This window comes from Homo sapiens, chromosome 8 (genome assembly GCF_000001405.40).
Source record: "Homo sapiens chromosome 8, GRCh38.p14 Primary Assembly".
Lineage (NCBI taxonomy): Eukaryota > Metazoa > Chordata > Mammalia > Primates > Hominidae > Homo > Homo sapiens.
In genome coordinates this window covers 61,642,887-61,656,113 of record NC_000008.11, presented here as the reverse complement: position 1 = coordinate 61,656,113, position 13,227 = coordinate 61,642,887, and the positions used below count along the sequence as shown (strand labels likewise).

Below are 13,227 nucleotides of genomic sequence, written 5' to 3'. Positions count from 1 at the left end.
GAGCTTATATGCATTTACTTTTCTTGATTCATTTTCGCTTGCTTTTTCCCTCAAATTTTAGAACTAAAATGAGCTTGGGTGGCAAAAAGTTTTTTGGAAACACTGAAATAAAATCTTGTACGGCAAATTCTTCCATATGGGTTGTTAAAGCAATTATAGTCTAGAATGTGTTTTTGTTAAGTTTCAAAAAGTTTATAGAGGTCTAGAGGAGGAGATACAGTAATATGATCTCAGCTTCTTTGAAGTTTACAATTTTTTTTTGTACTGATTTCATATCTGGAAATAGCTATGACCAGGTATTAACAATTTTATAATACACCTTCCACTTTGGACAGGGTAAAATAATCAATATTTTTTGCTCTGTGCTTTTGCTTTCTCCTGTTTTTCCTATGTTTTGCAATTTCAATTTTAGAGACAAATAAGTTCAAGTTGGTTAGAGAAAGCTGACTCTCAGGGGCATTGTATGTCGGAATGTTGGTATACTAGTAGTATTTGAACACGTAGCATTATGACTTTTCAAATGAAACTTCAAAACTCATTAAGAATGGGGTTTTCAGGCAGTTTAGATCTTTATCGTTTGGTGAGAAAACATTTCATTGCTTGTATAACACACGGAACACAGTTTGAGAGCCTGCTAAAGTGGGGTCAGTGAAGGATGACCCTGTAATTTTTCATTCAGACAGATAGTTTTGAGAGTGAAATAATCTCAGGACAGCAGACATAAACTGGGAGTGTCTCAGGCAAACTAGACTTATGACACTGAAATGGTGGATGCTGGAGCAGAAATACGGATCTCTGGTACATAGGAGTAGAGAAGTACTAATGTGAGTCCCCTTCCCTCTTCTACTCAGCTACTGGAGTGCACCTAAGAAGCCCTGGCCCTGCAGGGAATCTCCACAGCCATTTAGACTTAGCAGAGTAGTCACACCACTGGGTGTATTCAGCCCTTCAACAAGTGTTCATTGAGCAATTGCTATGTGCCAAGTGTTAGCTGAGGTGCTGAGAGTGCAAAGATAAATTACTTGATTCTTGAGATTCTTAAGCTTTTTCCCATTCATTCAGCAGAACTTGGCAATGAATCATTCCATACCTGTTCCATTAACAGTTGAGGGATGTAAAAATGATTATTTAAATGGTAAAAGGGAGGGCAGCCCTAAATTTGAATTTGAAATGTGATGTCTTTTACTAGGCCTTCATCTCTACCCCCTCCTCCCTGAACTTGAACTACAATTAGGACCTGTGTATAATCCCTTTGCAGCCTGTCTTACAGTTAGAGGTAACTTAGGTATAGAACACAACTGTATGTGTTGGTGTCAGGTGTACTAGTGGTGAGTTTTGTGTGGAAATAGTGTTGCAAATGGTAACTAGAGGAAATGTAAGTGATGTGGCAGGGTCCTGTGTATCTGTCTCTGTTTCTTTTAAGATTTGGGAAGAGGAATGTGGGAGTATGTTTTTGTCCATAAAAGAAACATGAAGAGACATAGGAAAAATAATAAAAAAGAAGAGTAATACATCGAAATGAAAATTTTCCAGACCACATTAGTGTGCATACATGAGCTGCACAGAGCTGCTTAAGATTAGAATACTGCCCTTCACATCACCTTGACCTTCCTGCCGCAGGCTGTCCATGCACAGTGACTACTCTTGGTAGGAGATTCTTAATGAGGTCAGGAGGAGTCCAGGATCAGCAAACGGAATCTTTGAACTCTTGAATTTAGCTGTTTTCTAAATACTTGGATTTAATTGAGGACCTATTTTAATGTTCCACATACAAAATATCAAATAACTTCAAATAACTAAGTTAATATAATAGATTTTAGACTGGCCTTGACTTTAAAATCAGTTTCATGTTAACATACCCTGCTGTCTTATTAGGACTTGTAAAAGGGAGAAGAACTTTTAAATTTTCATATGTTTTAGCTGTTATAGAATAATATGATTACTTGTAGGGGTTTCCTTTAGATGATAATAAATAGTTATGTATGATTTCTTTTTCTTTTTAACTGTTTTTCAAGTAGAATAAATAATTATATAAGTGAAAACATCGAGTGTACCTGAATAACAGAAAATTCAAGTGCATTTTAGTTGCCTCATTGCTGAATTCAAACTGCAGGACTTAGGAATTAATCGCTTATGAAAACAAAAGGAGCTTGAACTCATATTGAACTTTTGGCAGGTTTAGACATGACTGTTTTAGAGATTCATGAACATTTAAACAATGATTTTGTTTTAATTTGAAGTGAAAAGCTAACTAAGACAAAGAGATATATTCAAGGCTCATGTGAAGTTGAAGAGCAAACTGTTTTCCTACCTCACTTTTTAAGCATACAATTTTAGAAACTATTAATTAGCAGCACTATTAATTAAATGTTTGAAAATATTATTTTTCCTGGTTTAATGTGACAGAAAACCCCACAAAAACTCAAGTTAACTTTGTGAATAAAAAAATGCAGGACTTAAAGAGAGATCTACTTCAGAGCCAGCAGTCCCGCCAGAAGAGGCTGAGCCACACACTGAGCCCGAGGAGCAGGTTCCTGTGGAGGCAGGTAAGCTTGTCCTCATCCTCGAGTCTCGCCCAGGTGTGCCAGAGCCTGACAGGTATCCGCATTTACAGAATCACGTTTTACCTGGAATTTGTTTCACATCATTTACAGAATAATTAACTACTTTTTTTCTCTTCTGAAATTATGTAGTATTTTTCTAGTAGAAATTGGAACAGGATAATTTTAATTTTTAAGATCAGCTCTAAGGCAGACAGTTGTTCTTTGTCCAAAACCACACATTTAGGAACGTCATGAACTGAATGTTGTTTCTTGATTCCAATTCCAGCACTACTGTACTATATTACCTTGAAAGTAAAAATACACACAATTCTACACTACTAGTGTTATCATTTGTCACGTGATTTAATAGAGTAGATCTAGTGGTTTCTCAGTCTTTTTTACATGAGGGTCTCGTTTATTTTAAAAGACTTCCCAAACCTCCCTGTGGGCATCTATGGAGCCTGTTTTGTGTCCACATGGGTTCATAAATCAAGCATCTCTGTAGTTACCCCAAAGCCTATGACTATAGGTAGGAAAGTCGTGAAATATTTTAATAAGTTAGTAAATCTAATACAGTCTCTAAATCTCTGGTTTTCTTATGCCACCTATTGAAAGTTTAAGGAATGACACTACATATTTACTGAAAACTTAAGTACTGAATCCAAATGGTACTTTGGCTGATTTTTTCACTGTGTGCTGAGGAATAATATTTGATTTTTTTTCCTTTAAGGCCAATATGTTGCTCTGAGTTTTGTTATTTGTTGAATTTTTAATCCTAGGACAATGTATTCTCTCTCATTCCTGTAGAATTGCTATGATCATACCATAGCTCCAGAATAGATAGTAACTTTTAAAAAGTTTTATAATTTAATGTGTGTTTGGATTTAGCACCTCAAATTTTACTTTGTACTAAAATAAAACCCCTCTTGACCCCCACATTTCTTTTTTCTGCCATCTAATCCCTCTCCCCTCTACAACAGCCACGATTTTGAAAGAAGAATCCACTATTACTTTTTTACCTTATTTTTCATTCATTTTTTTTAACCCATTACACTCCAGCTTCTGCATCTTCCAATCCCCTCCAGAGGAGAGAAGGAGTATTTGCAAAATTATGGAAAGTTGAAATGGCATGGAGTCCTCACTAAGTTCAAAGCCAGTGCTGGTAGCAGATGATTCTGGAGAAGTGTGTGAGGACTCAGTTGTGGAGGTATTATATTCTGCTCCTAGGAACTGAGACTTTCACCAGTTTGGGCAAAGATAGCCATTAAAGAGTGAGCAGAGTGCACCACCCTCCACTTCTAGTAACTCAGATTATATTCTCTTTGGATGGTGATTTCAGCAGTTATGAACCTGGGAATCCAGTTAGGAAGCTATCTTAGGCTTTGTGAGAGAGGATGGCGATTGGCAGACTCTATAATAGCACAAGACTACATATATAAATGGCTTGTGAAATATAAACATTTATTAAAAATAGGCATTTTTATGCTTTGGAAATGATTTTGTAGTGTGATTAGCATAGTAGATATTACATTTAAACTCTTTTCCTTCCTGAAGTCTAAATTAACTTTCTATTTTTTGTCATGGAAGATTAGCTCTTTGACAACAACCGATGTCACTGGCATTATCTCACATGACAGCATTTATGATACCAAGTGTAGTGCTACTTCTATTCACTGAACATAGATTATATTTATTAGAGAACTTAGTATCAATGTAGTTATAGCTTCTTGTTCATTGTGTGATGTTGCAGTTAAGTCTAATAATCTGATAAGCACCACAGTGTTTTTGGAATGTCATCATTTATGTTCACTTTTGTAATTCAATTTATTTGAATTTATGGATCTCAGTGTCAGATGTGGTTCTCCAAAGCTGAAAGGATTGTCAGTTACAATGTAAGGTTTTCTACTGACACTTCCTGACAAACCTGAGTGAGAGCAGTCGGCTACCTCTGAGTATTCAGTCCTCTCACCTGCAGGAGTGCCCTTTCTCCTCTCAGGGAAGATAGGTAATGGTTGACCAGATACTTCAATCTGTATTGACCTTGTCTTCCACATTTCTGTCTTTATTTCCAACTATTTCCCTTTATGAAAGCTTTGTTCTTCCCACTTTATTTTATCATTATTGCGAATTTTATTAATTAGAAACAAGTCATTTTGCTTTTAATAAGGCTCTTTTTTAAATACAAATCTGAGCCTGAGTTTTCTTTAAAAATCTTATTGAAAGTATTTTAATGCTTAAGTCTGTTGACAGAATAAAACAAATTTTACATATCTACCATGTTTGCCAACACAGAACAAAAAAATGTAAGCTGATAGAGAAGGCATGCAGAGTTGCTTAGTCAAATATATTCATTTTAATGTGTATGTACCAATGTCATATTTGAGTGTTAGGGGTCCATGTTGATGTTTGAGCTTTTCTACTTAGCTATGTTTTGCAATTATTTTAGAACCCCAGAATATCGAAGATGAAGCAAAAGAACAAATTCAGTCCCTTCTCCATGAAATGGTACACGCAGAACATGGTATGAATTAAAATCTGCTCTTTGTTTTGAGTTACTAAAATAACGCTTAGTTATGTAAAATGACTTGGACATTTGTTTTAAAATTTAAAGGTTAATTGGGTGTTTGTGTTTTTTAAAAAGTTTTTGAATTCAAAGTTAGATAGCAGGTGTTGTTTTTGAAATAGCACTAAACTTACTTTATTCTACTTCACCGTGGAGGAACTCACTGCATACATCTAAGAGAGAACTGGTGGGAATAAATGAGAATGAACAGATTGAAAACAGTGATCCATCAGGAACAGAAGGGGAGGATGGAGAGGAGGAAAGTGGGACACAGGCCCACGGTCGGGTTCATCCAGGTGTTGTGCTCCACCTCGATTTTGCTTCATGGTTGGCTGGTCACCACAACAAAAATGATGACACTTTTAATTACATAGGTTGCACTAAGCAGACAGGAAAAAAAACGTGAGAATGCAAAACATTTTCCCAGTACTTAAATTTAAAAATTTTTCATGGGGAGCTCTGTGTAGAGGATACTAAGTAATAACCCAGGAACTAACGTTTTAAGGTTTTATAAGGCTGCTTCTTGAAGCATCCCTTGATAAAAACAGAGATCGTGATCCCAAAACGTATCTCATGAAGGGATTGTGGAGTGGGCAGGATGTTCTGGAATCCTGATTCTCCTGATGCTTTGGTGTGATCCAAGGGTGGCCTAAAGGAAAATAAAATTACGTTTCTTAAAAACAAACAATGCCCTGTAGTTTAAACTGTTTTTTGCCAGTGGATGCTAGGGGTGTAGGAGCCTGTATGCCTTTATTTCTAGCTTCTTTGCAGCTCGGAAAGCCACTCATGGGCCTATATGAGCAAGTGCAGGCTTCCCCTTCCTCAAGCCTTCCTTCCCCACGGCACCCCAACTTTAACTTAACAGAAGGAAAATCCAATCTAAATAAATAAGTGATTTAAATATAATGGGGTAAGTGCTGTCATGGTAATAAAATATGGGAAGCTCTTCAGGTCTTACTCAGAAGGGGGGTCAGAAGAGGCTGGTGTAGACCTTCACCAGGCCAGTGCTGGTGGTGAGTGTTTTAAGCAGAAGGCATATCCCAGAGACAGGAAAGGACCTGAAAGTAGTTCAGAATGGCTGGCACGTGGAATATGTAGGTGGAGAGTCATGAGAAAAAGGATATTTTTTACTTGATTCTAAGAGTAACTGAAGCCATTGGGGAAGGTATTTAGGAGTGTTGTGCCTTCTGTCTGTAGCATGAAAAATGCATGGGGGGATGCAAGAGTGCAGCTGGGAGATTAGATGGAGGTTGTGCAGGTAACAGTGATTCAGGATGGTAGCAAACTTGCCTCAGCCAAAGGAGGGGATGGAGAGAAATAGAAAGAACCCTAAGATGTTTAGGTGGTGGGGGGTGGGCAGGCAGCCAAAAGAGGGAAGTAGTCAAGTCTAGCACCGTGTTCTGGCCACAGCCTCCTTCTTGGACTTGTTCTTTTCTTTAATCACATTTAGAAAATCACATTTATGGCCCATGGTTATAAATATTCTTTGTATGTTGATAACTTTTAAATATATAGCTGCAGCCCTCATTGCTCATCTAAACTCCAGGTTTACCTAACTGCATACTTGGCATCTCCATTTGGATGTCTTATGGGTGTTTCAGACTTAAAGAACTCATGATTCTTCCCACACCCCATAGCTCCTCCTCACCCCAGTTCTCCCCAGATTGCTTATGCTAGTCTTTTATATTTTAGTTAATGGTCCTCCTACCCTCTTACTTGCTTAACTTGAAAACTCGAGAGTTTTCTTTGATTTTTCTTCTCCCCTCACATCTAATCCATCAGCAAATCCTGTCAGCATTGCCCCAGCACTGATTTTGGCTCTCTAGGGCCTCGGTGTGACCGTGGCTTCTTGCCATGACTGTTGCAGTAGCACAGTAGCATCCAGCTGGGTCTCCCTGTTTCCATACTTGCTCCTCTATAACCTGTGCTTAATGTGGCCCAGCCAGTTGTGCCTTGTCTGATCCCAGCCTCTTTTTCCCCTTCAGTGACTTTTCTCTAGCCCAGCTGACCTCTCTTTTCCTTGTAATTGCCAAGCCTATCACTGCTTTAGCACCCCTGCACCTGGTATATCTTTTGCTGAGATGTGTTTCCCACCCCGCCCAATCACATCTTTCAGACTGAGCATAACCTCCCTGCCCCCATCATGGTGCATTCACAACTGGATTCAGGTCCTGTATCTGCCATTGATTAGCCATGTGGCTTTAGCACAGTTTTTCAAGTTCTTCATCTTTCAAAGTAGGATACCAGTACCTGCTTCACAGGGAGGATATAACAGCTGCAGAGGGCTTGGCCATGCCTAGAGTCTCATGACCCCTTAGGAAATTTTTCATGATGAGACTCAAAGATAGTGTTCAATGTTAGACTGGTTTCGCTACAGAAAACAGGAATACTTCCACTGAACAACCGCATACGAAAGCTAAATCCTGCTAGTGTAAAAATCATCAGATTTCACTGGATAGAATGAAAGAAGAATAAGGAAAGAGGAATATGATAAAAATAAAAAGAGAAGTAAAATTTGTAGCAGAAATTCAAATTGGTGATTTGCTGAATAGCAGAAAATCTAAAATGAGGAAAAACAGTATTGCAAGCTATGAGGAGAAGATAGAAAACAAATAGCATCAACATAAATAGGCCTGCCTGATTCTCTAACACCTGAGAGCATTGCCTTGCCACGCTAAAGGGAGAGTAACTAAGGAAGGCTTCTTGCAGTCTGGGCTGGGGTTGTGGGGTAGGGGGATTCAGTAGCAGTACAAATGACAATGTTGTTATTACTGTAATAATGGTGATAATGACACCTAAATACTTAGGGCCAGGCATTTTTCTAAGTGTTTTAATCTTCATAACAATGTTACAAATAGATATTATTCCCATTTTATGGGAGGGAAATCTGTGGCACAGGGTAGTTAAGTAATTTGCCCACAGTCACCCAGCTGGTATGGAAGAGCCTGAATCTACAGCCATGCATCCGGACCCCATACTCGTCCTAATCCCTGAGCTGCACTGCAAAGCCAAGTCCTGCCCATTCACTTTCTTTAGAGTATTATACACAGGAGATACTCTGCTGGAAGCCAGGTCAAGTTACATTGGGATGCAATACCCAGTCTTAACCATGTTGCAGTGGAATCATGCAACATGTCCAACCTCTACACAAAAGAAGCAGAGCAGTTCAATATATCATAGAAGTTAATCACAGAAGAGAAAGTGGGCATCTTTGCATAACTTGAAGCCTAATAGGAACATTTGAATGCATAGTATGATTCAGGTAAACCTGTGACCTAGCATATAATTTATTTTTATTTATTTTTAATTTAATTTAATTTATTTATTTATTTATTTTGAGACAGAGTCTCACTGTGTCACCCAGGCTGGAGTGCAGTGGCACCATCTTGGCTAACTGCAACTTCTGCCCCCCAGGTTCAAGCGATTCTCCTGCCTCAGCCTCCCAAGTAGCTGGGACTACAGGCACGTGCCACCATGCATGACTAATTTTTGTATTTTTAGTAGAGATGGGGTTTTACCATGTTGGCCAGGCTGGTCTTGAACTCCTGACCTCAAGTGATCTGCCTGCCTCAGCCTCCCAAAGTGCTGGGATTATAGGCGTGAGCTGCCATGCCTGGCCCTAGCATATAATTTAGATAGGTGGCTAGTCACTCTTTGCTATAGAATATTTGAATAGTCATTTAAAGTTGTTACCTGGAATTCTATGTCAATTCCCAGGAAAAGGCCATAGAGTAGCCTTTTCTTTGACCTGAGGATAATTGAAGAGGCAAATATATTAGTAATAATTATGAATTCATTTATTCATTCATCAAATATTTATTGAGTGCTTCCTTTAGCTAGACATGGCCCTAGGTGACTGGGAATATATAATGGATAAAATATATAAGCTTCCTGTCCTGATGTGTAACATCCTAATGAGAGGAAACCTGTCCCCCACCACATATACTTAGGCAGATTAGCACTTGGCCAGAGGAAGAAAATAGCTGTGGAGTGGACAATGGTGTCTTCAGCGGCCGAAAGGAGGGGCAGGGGAAGCCCCAGCAGCAGGAGCAGGTGTGTGGCAGCCCTTCACAAGGGGCTTTCATGTCTCAGTTGTATGTTGCCAGTGTCACTTTGTTCATTGTCATAGTTGAGGGAGAAGACTTGCAACAAGAAGATGGACCCACAGGAGAACCACAACAAGAGGATGATGAGTTTCTTATGGCGACTGATGTAGATGATAGATTTGAGACCCTGGAACCTGAAGTATCTCATGAAGGTAGAACACTTTTTTTTCAAGTTTTAGGATAAAATATAATCAATGACTTCTAATTACTGAAGTTTTTCTTAAACCCCTTTAAAACTGATATTTAACTTTTGCTTAGATTTTTAAAAGTTGAAGCTTAAAGCTTCAATTAAAGCAAATTTTTTCTTAAAATAGATACCTTGATTTTGGTTCAAAGCACTTTTCAGGGAAACTCAGAATATACAAATTTCTTATAAATAGTGAGTCAAATACTTGAGGAAACTAGTTTTACTATATTCTTCTGCTTAGGGTGCTATTTGTTAAATAAAATTCAAACAACTGATGAAATATTGGACTTGATAATCTATCACAGGCTCATGTTCACACATGAACTCTGTAATTACAGTGAGCAAAACACAATTCTTAGCTTCTGTACCAGGCATTGGCAAACTTTTTTTTGTAAATAGCCAGAGAGTAAATATTTCAGGTTTTCTGGATCGTACAGACTCTGTTCAGCTACTCAACTCTGCCATCACAGCGTAAAAGCAGCCTTTGATAGTTCCTAAGTGGGTCAGTGTAGCTGTGTTTTTATACAACTTATTTGTAAAATCCTACCCAACATGGCTGGTAAGTGCAGCGGCTTGAACACAGCTCACTCCAGCCTTGACCTCCCATGCTCAAGCAGTCCTCTCACCTCAGCCTCTCAAGTAGCTGGAACCACAGGCATATGCTACCATGCCCTGCCAATTTTTAAATTTTTTATAGTGGCAAGGTCTCCTTATGTTGCCCAAGCTGGTCTCAAACTCCTGGCCTCAAGCAATTCTCCTGCCTCAGCTTTCCAAAGTGTTGGGATTGCAGGCATGAGCCATTGTGTGTCCAGTTAGCAAACACTTTTTAAAAGCATAAAAATGAAAAGTAGTTTATCTACTTTGCACAATACTAAATATTTTGGAAAATTACTTTAGCAGCAGGTAGCTCCTACTTTATGAGTACATGTATTTCCAAAAACTTATATCCATGCCTATTGTTTAGAACAGGAAATGCACTTTCCCATAAAAATATGGGATGGTTTGGTTTTCAAAAGAATTGTATATAATGCATAATTTTCTGTGAAAAATACAAGCACACAATCCTTTTGAACATCTATATGATTTATTTTTGCTGCATTACACATTGAAAATAAGCACTTATAGACTACCTTCAGAACTTTATGCCTTTAGTAATCATTTATGTCATGATTTCTTTGGGACAAGGTTTCCAGTTTCTGAGTAGGGATACTGATAAAATGATTTCCACATTTCCTGTTGCTTCTTCTCTCCAGTCTTTGGCCTAAATGGCTCAGTAAGATTGACAGTTGCTCAGAATTTTTCTATCTACATGCTGCTTATACAACAAATTTCAGTTAAGATGCTGAAATAAACAGAAGCATGAGGAATTTGATATTCTTAAAGTTAGGAGTCACAGATTGGGAGTAGGAAGAAACACTTTTAAGAAGTTCACAAATTGCAGAAACCTTACTTTCTGATCTCATCTTTAATTAGGACATAGATGCAGTTTGAACTTAAAAGTTGGTTGTTAAAAGTCTTCAGAAAATAAAAATATTTATTCTTTATATATGCATTAAATAAAATTAGCAAGGTCATAAGTGTGGTGACGGACAGATAGCTCTTCTGCTATCTGGGGTGTATGGGTTAAGTGTTCAACACATTTACCCTTCAGCTCCCTAAGGGTATAAAGCCTCTTCAGCTGTTTTTCTCTGTTCCCATCCATAGTTGCTGTACTTTCGCTCTAGAAAATGGTAGGACAGGTCGAGGAGATAGCACATTCTAGTGGGTTGTGAAGTGGATTAGAAATGAACGGCTTTCCTGGTCTGGCCTGTGTCACTCTAAGTTGTCCTCTCTCTTTAGTCCAGGGGGTGGTGGTTGTCAGCCTTGTGGGGATGAGTGGACTGAGAAGGAGAATGTGTGAGACATCCCACAGTGTACTTCTAGTGAAATATAAAAGTGTTAAGCAGACTTTTAATTGATAGTCCCATTTTTTAATTTTTTAAATAAAATTAATGATAAGCATAGATTCAGAGTACATATACGGGATATATACATACCATTTTGTAAAAGCAGTAAATATCAATCTAATTTTTTTTTTTCCAGAAACCGAGCATAGTTACCACGTGGAAGAGACAGGTGAGATTTTAATTTAATTCTGTTCTTAATTAGAGTGAGTCTTCCTTTAAAAGGGCATCATAAAATACATAATATCTATTATTAATGATATATTTAAATTAATATATGCAAGATATGCAATTAATAATTTTATTACGTCTTATATTTATGGTATTTCTTTGTGAATATACTTTTTTGTGTTTTGATGCCTAGTTCCTGAGGATAAATTTTCAGTAGGATTACTAGTTCAAAAGATACAATTGAATTGCATGTTTTGTACCTTTCAATTACAGAGTCAACGAAAGGTCTAAATCATGTTTTGTCACATGCCAGCGCCCTTAAAGGGCATGGCCACAGGAGGTGGGCGCATCATCTGTCAGCACTTTACTGTTTTGCGGTTTGAGTGTAAACCAGTTGATGACAGGCCCCCCTTACTCATCTTTGCATTTGGCATTTAACACACTTAATACCTATTTGTTTCAGGAGTGAACATGTTTGAATATCATTATGACTTGATTTTGCATTTCAATCATAACTAGAAATTGTGTCTTTCTGGTTTCGAATATTACATGTATTCCTTATTTGAGACGTAATTTCCTAATTATTCCATAATTTATAGTTTCACAAGACTGTAATCAGGATATGGAAGAGATGATGTCTGAGCAGGAAAATCCAGGTTTGTAAATGTTAAAATTATTGATATGTGTTTTCTGATTGAGGCAGTGGCCAAGGCCGTTTTATTCCAGGGTTAACAATTGTGATTCAACACAGAGATCCCTGTATGGTATTTATAATCACTTTTGATTGGTCAGATGTTTATAGAAATGTCTGAATATAGTTTAATACTACATAGAGGGATGAGAGAAAAAGGAGACGTATTTTTCAAACCACTGTTGAGACTTTGGTCTTTGTAGGTAAGGTGCTGGAAAGAATATTTGAAAATTGAAGGGGCAGTATGATGTACTATAAAGTCATTCTGGGTACAAATCCCATTTCTACTCTTTCCTATCTTTTTGACTTAGGCATCAAATTGTGGAACGTTATTCAGCTTAAATTTTATTAAATGATAATGAAAACATCTATCTGGCAAAGTTGTGAAGATAATTAATTTATGAATCTCCTAGAATGCTGTCTGGCAATGTGTTTGGTTTTTTCCTGTTTGGCAAAGGTGTGTTTTTGTTTTTTAGATTCCAGTGAACCAGTAGTAGAAGATGAAAGATTGCACCATGATACAGGTATTAGATGAGCATTTTCATTAGATTTAAAATATTACCTTAGATTTTTCAATCACATGCTGTGTTTACATGGTGATTTTTCTTTTAAAGGCATCAAAGAAGTAATTTCGACATCTAATGCATGAGATTTTGTTTTATAACAAAGTTAGACTGTTATAAGAATATCAGGCTTTCATATTTCACCTCATCAACTAACCATTCCATAACAAAACAGGATGTCAAATTTTAATGCTGTTTTTGTGTATCAAATTCCTCTGTGCCAATTTGAGAAATTTTAATGAAAATAATTTACCTGCCTTTTAATTGCTTTTGGGCAGAGGCATTTATTATTGACTGAGCAGACATTAATATTTGAAGGAGTAGAGTTCTGTGTTTACGATTAAGTAGTATTTTGTTTTAACTGAACAATTGTATAGAATGACTCAGTTAATACTTATTTTGCTTTTATTCTCTTTTTTTTTTCAGATGATGTAACATACCAAGTCTATGAGGAACAAGG

At 37.4% G+C, this 13,227-nt stretch overlaps 1 protein-coding gene across 90 annotated transcripts in view; it reads left to right on the top strand.

The window, feature by feature from the left end:
- ASPH (aspartate beta-hydroxylase) overlaps window positions 1–13,227 on the top strand; it is a 214,037-nt gene that overhangs the window by 58,479 nt on the left and 142,331 nt on the right. For 34 of the 90 annotated variants that reach the window (NM_001413881.1, NM_001413866.1, NM_001413854.1 and 31 more), the window contains 7 exons: window positions 2,454–2,546; window positions 4,990–5,064; window positions 9,236–9,364; window positions 11,482–11,514; window positions 12,113–12,169; window positions 12,681–12,728; window positions 13,194–13,226. The exons of 2 other annotated variants lie outside the window; for them this stretch is intronic. In NM_001413881.1, coding sequence (NP_001400810.1) covers window positions 2,454–2,546; window positions 4,990–5,064; window positions 9,236–9,364; window positions 11,482–11,514; window positions 12,113–12,169; window positions 12,681–12,728; window positions 13,194–13,226 — 468 coding nt within the window. The remainder of the gene's footprint in view (window positions 1–2,453; window positions 2,547–4,989; window positions 5,065–9,235; window positions 9,365–11,481; window positions 11,515–12,112; window positions 12,170–12,680; window positions 12,729–13,193; window position 13,227) is intronic. 54 more of the 90 variants (NM_001413885.1, NM_001413877.1, NM_001413879.1 and 51 more) reach the window with 7 other exon arrangements.